Source organism: Homo sapiens, chromosome 10, assembly GCF_000001405.40.
Source record: "Homo sapiens chromosome 10, GRCh38.p14 Primary Assembly".
NCBI classification, from domain to species: domain Eukaryota; kingdom Metazoa; phylum Chordata; class Mammalia; order Primates; family Hominidae; genus Homo; species Homo sapiens.
The window spans coordinates 17,427,702-17,437,108 of NC_000010.11; the positions used below are offsets into that span (position 1 = coordinate 17,427,702).

Here is a 9,407-nt window from a genome sequence, read left to right on the forward strand (position 1 = left end):
TTCTTCTCCAGGGACAGTATGACAAGGGGTTTCCAAAAAAGACAATATTGAGAACTGAAGTCAGACTCAGTCTCACAGAGGCAATCATTGGACACTTGCCTGTTGATAAGGCGATGCCTTGCACTTCGTCCTTTATTCCTGAAGGAGCAGGAGCAATGGCCTATCAGAAATGGCCAGGTATCTTGGATTCATGGAAACACACTTGCTGATGAAAAGAGGACAGCCCTGACTAGCACTTTCTCTTTTTGCCTCTGAGTTTGAGTAGGCAAGAAGTACACAAGAGTCCTTCTATTTGTATGAAGAAAAAGAAACAAGATCATCGTGTTTATTGTCAGAGCATTTTGAGACATTGTTTTGACTTCATTTTAAGCCCTGTTAACTTTTAGTCTTATCTCTAGCAGATTTCCTCACTAAAGTGAGTGACCAAATCTCCCTCAATGCCCATTTCTTTAAATGCTATCGCATAAAACCTGGAACATGTATTCCATAGGTTGCTTTGATGATAAGCAGATAATATGTGCCAAGCACCCAGCTGGGTGTGTCCTGGTGCAGCCGCCATCGGCCCTTCCCCTCCCCTCCCCACACTCTGGCCCTCCTTAGTTGTCTTGCTGATGGCTTCCTGTCTGTAGAGCACATTACAAACCCTAATACTTTCATTCATTCACTGATGTAGCAAATGCTTATTTTTATTTGATATATGACCCTCCATAAATGCTGGAGATACAAAAATGATGGGTAGTCCCTGCTGTTGCATTGTTCTCAATCTACCCTAGAAGTGGGCAAATAAAGTCAGTCGACACTGGCGTCATACTGACCTATGTGGAGAAACACACAGGGAGAAAGTTACAGAGAGGAGAGGCCGTTGGAAGGGCTTCCCGAGGAAAGCAGCCGCTGAGCTGTGTCTCCAGGGAGGAGCTAAGCAGCCGGCTAGGTAGAAGAGGAGGCGGCCAAGCAGAAGGAACAGCAAGTAAAAGGGCGCAGAGGCCAGACAGAAGAATGTGTCTGAATTGATAGAAAAGGGGACAGGAAGGTGAAGAGCAGTGCCAAGAAGCAGAGGACAGCCACAGAGCTGGCATCGTGTGATGCGGAAGGCATGGTCAAATTCGAGGAAGCAAGTAATACAAGGATAGATGCCTGTTGGCTATGTTGCCGACCATCTCGGCAGAAAGCCTGCTGGGAGAACAGTAGGTGGGGCAGAAGTCAGTCCATGATAACCTGAGATATGAATGGGGGTTGAACGCTGTCAACATGTTATGTGGCTTTTGTGGCCTGAGCTGCACCGCCACACCCCCTTCCTGTTGTGTGTGGGGATTCATGATGATATTAGTAGCACATACAGTAAGCGGGATCTGGGGCTTCATTTAACATCTTGTGTTTCGTTCTGTAGTGCCCCCTCCTCCTGTTGGTTTATATCTAGTATTAGTAGATATATCTCTTTAAAACTTGGTTTCATATTTTGGACTACATCAATTACCCTTACAATTTATGATCGCTTATTCATTTATACTGCCAGTTTTTCACTTTAGGGATATAATAGATCATCACCACGACTAACCCCACCACCAGCACCCCCACATACTCCTCAGTACTTTTTCTACCTTTTATTTCTATTTTTCTTTTCTGTTTTCGAGGCAGGGTGTCACTCTGTTGCCCAGGCTGGAGTGCAGTGGCATGAATTCAGCTTTTCTTTTACTTGCTGTTCCTTCTGCTTGGCCGCCTCTTCCTCCACCTGGATGGTTGCTTAGCTCGTCCCCGGAGACACAGCTCAGCGGCTGCTTTTCTCGGGAAGCCCTTCCAACTGCCTCTCCTCCCTTTCACTTTCTCCCTGTGTGTTTCTCCCTGTGTGCCCATGAAATCTTCAACTCCCACCTCCCGGGCTCAGGTGATCCTGTCACCTCACCCTCCTGAGAATACCTGGGACTACAGGTGCATGCCACCGTGCTCAGCTAATTTTTGTATCTTGTGTAGAGATGGGGTCTCACTATGTTGCCCAGGCTGGTCTTGAACTCCTAGGCTCAAGCGATCTGACCGCCTCAGCCTCCCAGAGTGTCAGGATTACAGGCGTGAGCCACAATGCCTGGCCTTACTTTTTCAACTTCTATTTGTACTTCACGTTTTACCATTTGGAGCTTCATTTAGCATCTGGTACCTTCTTCTATAGCATCTCTTCTCTTCCAAATATTTATATTCTTTGTTAAAATTTTTTTATTTCAATAGTTTTTGGGGTACAAGTGTTTTTTTGTTACATGGATGAATTGTACAGTGGTGAATTCTGAGATTTTAGTGCACCCATCGCCGGAGCAGTGTACATTGTACCTATGTGTAGTTTTTTGATCCCTAGCCCTCCTCCCATCTTCCCCTTTCTGAGTCTCTAAAGACCATTATATGCACCCTGTATGCCTCTGCATACTCATAGCTTAGCTCCCATTTATAAGTGAGGATATACAGTTTTTGATTTTCTACTCCTGTGTTACTTCATTAAGAATAATGGCCGCCAGCTCCATCCAGGTTGCTGCAAAAGACATTATTTTGTTTCTTCTTATGGCTGGGTAGTATTCCATGGTGTATATACACCACATCTTCTTTATCAACTCATTGGATGGGCACTTACGTCAGTTCCACATCTTTGCAATTGTGAATTGTGCTACTATAAACGTGTGTGCATGTGTATTTTTCATATAGATTTCTTTTCCTTTGGCTAGATACCTGATAGTGGGATTGCTGGATTGAATGGTAGATCCACTTTTAGTGGAATCTTCACGCTGTTTTCCATAAAAGCTGTACTAATTTGCATTCCCACCAGCAGTGTCTAAGTGTTCCCTTTTCCCCATCCTCGCCAACATCTGTTGTTTTTGACTTTTTAATAATGTCCATTTTTTTTGCCAGAGTAAGGTGGTATCTCACTGTGGTTTTAATTTGCATTTCCCTGATGATTAGTGGTGTCAAGCATTTTTTCCTATGTTTGTTGGCCATTTGTATATCTTCTTTTGAGAACTGTCTATTCATGTCCTTTGCTCACTTTTTGATGGGATTATTTTTCTCTTGCTGATTTGTTTGAGTTCCTCGTAGATTCTGGATTCTAGCCCTTTGACAGATGCATAGTTTGCAAATATTTTCTCCCATTCTGTGGGTTGTCTATTTGCTCTGCTGATTATTCCTTTTATGTTCTTATTAAGGTTACGTGAAAGACTTGCTCAGTGTGATCTGGGGCTCCCTCTTGTGGCAGACAGTGGCCCAAAGCCATTCCCAAACCCCTTTCCTTTCCCTGCCTTCAATACACAGGCACCAAGCGAGACATTTATATTTCTAGACTTCCAGAAGCCAAGGCTGAGCATGTGACACTTATGGCTAAAAAGATTTAGGCAGAAATCTTTGAGTAGGGATTTCCTTTTCAACTACAAAGGCAAAGCCTCATTAGGAAGAAGCCCTTTGCTCTCGTCCTTTTTTCTCTTCTCAACTGTGATGCAGACTGCCCCAAGGGCTGCCACCTTTGGCCGACATGAGGATGAGAACTAGCCGCTGAGGATGGCTGGAAGTCACCTGAGGATCAGGTAGCTCCCACCCCGAGATGGAGGGTAAGGGAAAGAAAGTCAGGGCAGGTCTTTTGAACCACATTTGTAACATTTATATAAAAGAAATTTCTTCACAGTGCTGTTTTAAAAGTATTTTAAGCACATCATTTCAAAGTGTGACCGGAATAATGATATACCAATTTGAAAGCAGTTATTTTAGTGAATAAAAGTTTCGTTTTAAGGGGGGGGAAAGGGTGTGACTGTAATATAGATTTATTTGGATTTCTGAAAAATATAGCCCGCCTGGGCTATGGTAGAAAAAGCATAAACTGTTAGAACAACAACGCAGAGCCCGCTGGAAAAACAAGGAAAGAATTCAGAAAGCCAGCGTGAGATCCTCTCTGTCCTAAAAACAACCCTGCGGGAAGGCGTCCTGGGTTCAAGTCCCAAGTTGTATACTTACTAACTGTGTGACCTTAGGCAAATCACTGCAATTTCTCTGTGCCTCATGGTCTTCGTTTGGAAAAAAAAAAAAAAAAAGGAATTTGCCCAACAAATAGTCAGTTTCTACTATATGCCATTATTATTCCAGGCACAACAGTAAATGAAACAGACAAACATCTCTGTCCACATGGAGCTCGCTGCCTAGTAGGAGGAGATAGATAAGAACAAGTACTGTGAAATATATGTGGTGTCATATGGTGAAAAGTGGTACAGGAAAAAATAGGGCAAAGAAAGAGGAAGCGGAAAGTAGGGATAGGAGTGGAGGCTGAAGGGAGAGACAGCCGGAAGCCGGAAGCCGAAAACCGGAAGCAAGAAGTAGACTAGGTGGGTATCTGGGGGATGCTCATGAAAGACCCTTAGTCCAGGAAGAGAACACTGTTGGAGACAAGGCGCCAGAGCATACTATGTTCTAGAAATAACTGGAAGTTCCATGCAGCTGGAACACAGTGAGCAAGTAGAATTGAAAGAGATGAAGTCAGAGAAGCAGTGGGGACCAGATTTTTTAATGACTCACCAGCCTCGGAAAGGACTTCAGCTTTCACTGAGTGAACTGAGGAGTCACTGGAGGAGAGGACAGGATGGAGTTTGTATTTAAAAGGACCACTTAGTGTGCTGTTTTGAGAATAGATTCTGGAAGGGGACACTAGTTCTGAGGCAATTACAACAATCCGGGCAGACAGGAGGAGAAGGTCCTTTTCCACCCCACGCATTTGCCGTGATGTAATGCGTACGAATGTGAATTTCAAGAGACTACCTGCGTTTATGATACATTATTATTGCCAGTTTATGACCTTTATGCTAAAAACATGCTAGCAGGAAAAAATATAGCCAACAAATGCAGTTGCATATGAGTTCACAGACAATGATAAACACACTTTTCAGCTTTTCAAAGAGTTGACACCAAATTGGTGTCTGATTTAGATCCTGCTTAATGGCTCAAGGAAACAGATGAGTGAGACCTGTTAAAGCAAACTAAATATGGCCTGAGGACTCCGTACTTCTATATTTGGGTCCTTGTGGACGAACTGTAACCTAGCTTAATAGTCAGACAAGATTGAAAAGCTAACTTAGAAGTATGTGCCTATAACAATAGCTGAGTTTTGGCCAATCCCAGCGGCCATACTTCAACGACTCATAGACTGCTAAGTGTTCAAACTGTGTTCAAATAAGACAAACGCCAACCTGTAACCAACCCAGCTGTTTCTGTACCTCACTGCCAATTTCTATGTGTCACTTCCTTATTTATTTATTTATTTATTTGTCTATAAATTCACTCTGACAATGAGGCATCCCTGGAGTCTCTCTGAATCTGCCGTGATTCTGGGAGCTGCCCAATTCATGAATCGTTTGTTGCTCAATTAAACTCCTTTAAATTTAATTTGGCTGAAGTTTCTCTATTAACAGACCAATGACAGGTCACATCCCAACTTCTCTGGCTTCTTTATATGACTCAGGAACATTTTAAATCTGGGGGAAAAAAAATAACCTGTACCTTTCCTCAACAGGACAATAACACATTTTTATATCAGCTTGTTAAACACACGTGACACATCTATATCAAGTTGTTACACACACACCCTTGCTTAAATAATTGTTAAACACCTGTGGTCCAAAAAAATAATCACAGGGCATCACTAATTTATTTGCCAGATTAAAGATGTAAGATAGAGCTTTAATATCCAACCGTTGGTAATCACGGAAATTCCAATTAAAACAAAGAGATACCATTTTCGCCCATCAAGCTAACAAAAATATAAACATAATAATACTTAATGTTCATGATAGACCCCAACTGATCAGAAACAGATGCTGGGTCCATGGTAGGCACTTCCCCAGTGTAGACAGCCACTCAACCAGGTATCCACCTCTGGAGTCCCTGGAAGGAGGGCCAGGGGCTGGGGACAGAGCACCTGGGACTCAGGGATGCAGCCCTCTCAGCACTTTAATAACTGGTATGGCCATCCTGGCTTGAATATCAGCTCTGCCTCACTGTAGCCCCAGTAATCTCTCCAAATTACAGACTTCATCAGGTCATTCACCTGAAAAGCCTTCAGTAGAGTCTCAAAACCTGTGAGATAATGCCTGAATTATTTAGCAAGGAGTGCCCCTTTGTTTTCTAGCCCCCCTATCTACTTTTCCAGCCTCACATTCACCTGTCCTCAACACATATCCTGGGACCCAGCCATCCCGAGGGATTTTTCAGCTTCACAAACCCATCTTGTTCTTATATCCTTAAGCCTTTAGATGTGGTGCAAATGTCTTCTTCCCTGCTTGCCTGCTCAAGGAATTTCTACTTATCCTTCCAAGACTCAAAACAGGCACTTGTACCTGTTTAGCCTCCCCTGGCTTCTCTCCCCTGGGCTACCCCCTCTTCATGCCTAGACATATCTCAAGGACAGCATTTATGCAGAATGGTCATTACACATGCTGCTTCCCACTCTCTAGATGGGGGACTCCTTGGGAGCAGGGACAGATGCTTTCTTGGGACTATGTCCACAGATTCTGAAACTCCGGCTGACCAGGGCAGAGTCCCAGAAAATCTTCTAAGATTCAACAATTGACGTGCTTTGCTACAAACACTGCAGATCTGGACCTAGCACCTGCCTTCCTAAGGAAAGAAGGATGTTTTTACCCGATCAAATTAGGTACCACCTGCATATTCACCCTGTTGGTACCCAGGCTCTAAGATAAGAGCACAGGTTTCCTGCAGCATAAATATCCACTGAACGGATGAATGAAGCCATTAATAACCTTTTGACTGTGTGCTAAGAGTCAGTACTGTGCTGAGAAGAATATTTTCAAAAGAAAAGAAAATCATCTTTTTGAGTGAGTTGGGATAGAATCTTTGGATATAAATTCATTCTTTTCTTAGGGGACTTGCTCTTAATGAAACTCAGGGTGAATGAGGCGGATGTGCTTATTCCCTGGACCTTCCTGAAAGTACAGTGCAATCCCACAAATACAGCCTGTACGCAGCAGGAATGAAGGGTGAACCTGTGTCTGTAGGTGTTGGGAGGACACACACACACACACACACGGGAAAGGAAAACTGAGTTGGTTAACTGCAACTTGGGTAAAGTAAATAATGAGGCCTCAGTGCATGTTCACTGGCATGGTTTATGGTTTCTCTTGTGACTTTCTGGAGAGGGCAACTTTCTGGAGGTGGCCACCAGAACACCAGCTTCCGCCTTTAAGGCTGGGCACAGACTCTCCGACCCACCCACACAGATTGGGGCAGCTCCAAGCTCCCAGATTCGGCAAGGACTCCCATGCTGAGAAAGCTCTCCAGGTTATTTTCAAAAATGGCCTGGGGCCTAAATTACACTCAGGGGGATGCCAGCCCCCTGGAAAGCCCCCTGAAGCTGACCATGCGTGGCTTATTCTGCATTCCTTGTTGCTGCTGCATATCTGAATTCATTAAGTTTGACTTCGTAATCTGAAGAGATTCAAAGATCTGAGCTGTTCTCTTGCCTCTCAGTATGGTATGTGGCTTCTAGGCCAAATTCTATCACTTCCAGGTCTCCCCAAGGTCCTCTGTCCCCAAAAGCCTGTCATATGTGCTCACCTCCTTCTTCCAAGTCCCCTAAATGTCCAGAAAGCTTTATCTCCATTTCCTATGAGACACACTGCAGCTTATCTCTGTTTCACCATCTGGAGCCTAATTCCCATGAGGGCAAAGACCATGAGGAACACAGCCTTCAGCTTTGTGGCCTGGGACAAGTTACTGACCTCTCTGTGTTTTGGCTTCTCCTTTGGTAAAATGAGAATATTACCAGTTCTACATAATAACATTGTGGTGAGAATTAAATGAAATCATACTAAGCTGCTGAAACCTGGCACTTAGGAACAGTTGAATAATTGCTAAACTTCCTTGGTTCTATTCAGCTTGACACAAAGCCCCATAGATCACAGGGACTCCCATTTGGGTGACTATTCTCTATCTTAAACAAACAGCATTTCAGCCCTGACTTGAACTGCTTATAAAATGGGGGGTTGGGGGGGTGGGGGGCAGGCAATACAAGAAATCTGAATATTAATGGAGAATTTTGCCCATTGTGTCTGTGTCTCACCTCAAGATATTTTTTATAACAATGTGGATTCCCTAACGAGACTTCTTAAAAGTTGATGCACTTCAAAAAGTTACATCCTCTCATATCCCAACAACAAAATTACTTCTGTGAAAGTTGATTATGTGAATTGGGTGATTCTTGCCATACCCAAATAAATCAGAGTCTAGGGACCAGCGGAGGGAAAGCATTCCGCACATAGCACCTGTTTCAAAAATTATCCACAAACCCAGCTACTAAAACAATGTGCTGTAACCCTAAGATGAGTTTTACTTAGCAGCTGCTGGAATCACCTGCTGCGACTCTAAGACTAGTTTTACTTACCACTGTCACTCACCAGTCAGAGCTTGCCAGCTCCCAAAACCTTCTATCGTGCCAATGAGCTTTCTTTCAAAACAATACATAACACTTGTCTTACTGATAAAACTCCAATATTGTTTGGCTGTGTCCCCACCCACATCTCATCTTTAATTCCCACATGTTGTGGGAGGGTCCCTGGGGGGGAGGTAATTGAATCATGGGAGCAGGTCTTTCATGTGCTATTCTCATGCTAGTGAGTAAGTCTCACTAGATCTGATGGTTTGTTTTTGTTTTTGTTTTTTTATACTGTAAGTTTTAGGGTACATGTGCACAACGTGCAGGTTTGTTACATATGTATACATGTGCCATGTTGGTGTGCTGCACCCATTAACTTGTCATTTAGCATTAGGTATCTCTCCTAATGCTATCCCTCCCCCCTCCCCCCACCCCACAACAGTCCCTGGTGTGTGATGTTCCCCATCCTGTGTCCAAGTGTTCTCATTGTTCAATTCCCACCTATGAGTGAGAACATGCAGTGTTTGGTTTTTTGTCCTTGTGATAGTTTGCTGAGAATGATGGTTTCCAGCTTCATCCATGTCCCTACAAAGGACATGAACTCATCATTTTTTATGGCTGCATAGTATTCCATGGTGTATATGTGTCACATTTTCTTAATCCAGTCTATCATTGTTGGACATTTGGGTTGGTTCCAAGTCTTTGCTGTTGTGAATAGTATCTGATGGTTTTATAAAGGGTAGTTTTCCTGCACAAGCCCTCTTCCCTTGTCTGCCACCCTGTGAGATATGCCTTTTACCTTCCACCATGATTGTGAGGCCTTTCCAGCCACGTGCGACTGTGAATACATTAAACTTCTTTCTTTTGTAAATTGCTCAGTCTCGGGTACGTCTTTATCAGCAGCGTGAAAACTAACTAATACAAACTCCCAACCTTCTCTTTGTTCTTCAGGCATACCCAAGAACACTCCATCTGTGTGTATGCCCCAAATTGCAATTCTATGATTCCC

At 43.5% G+C, this 9,407-nt stretch overlaps 1 protein-coding gene across 5 annotated transcripts in view; it reads right to left on the reverse strand.

Moving 5' to 3' along the window:
• Positions 1 to 9,407, reverse strand: part of ST8SIA6 (ST8 alpha-N-acetyl-neuraminide alpha-2,8-sialyltransferase 6) — a 139,175-nt gene that overhangs the window by 112,281 nt on the left and 17,487 nt on the right. The gene's annotated exons all lie outside the window — the stretch shown is intronic.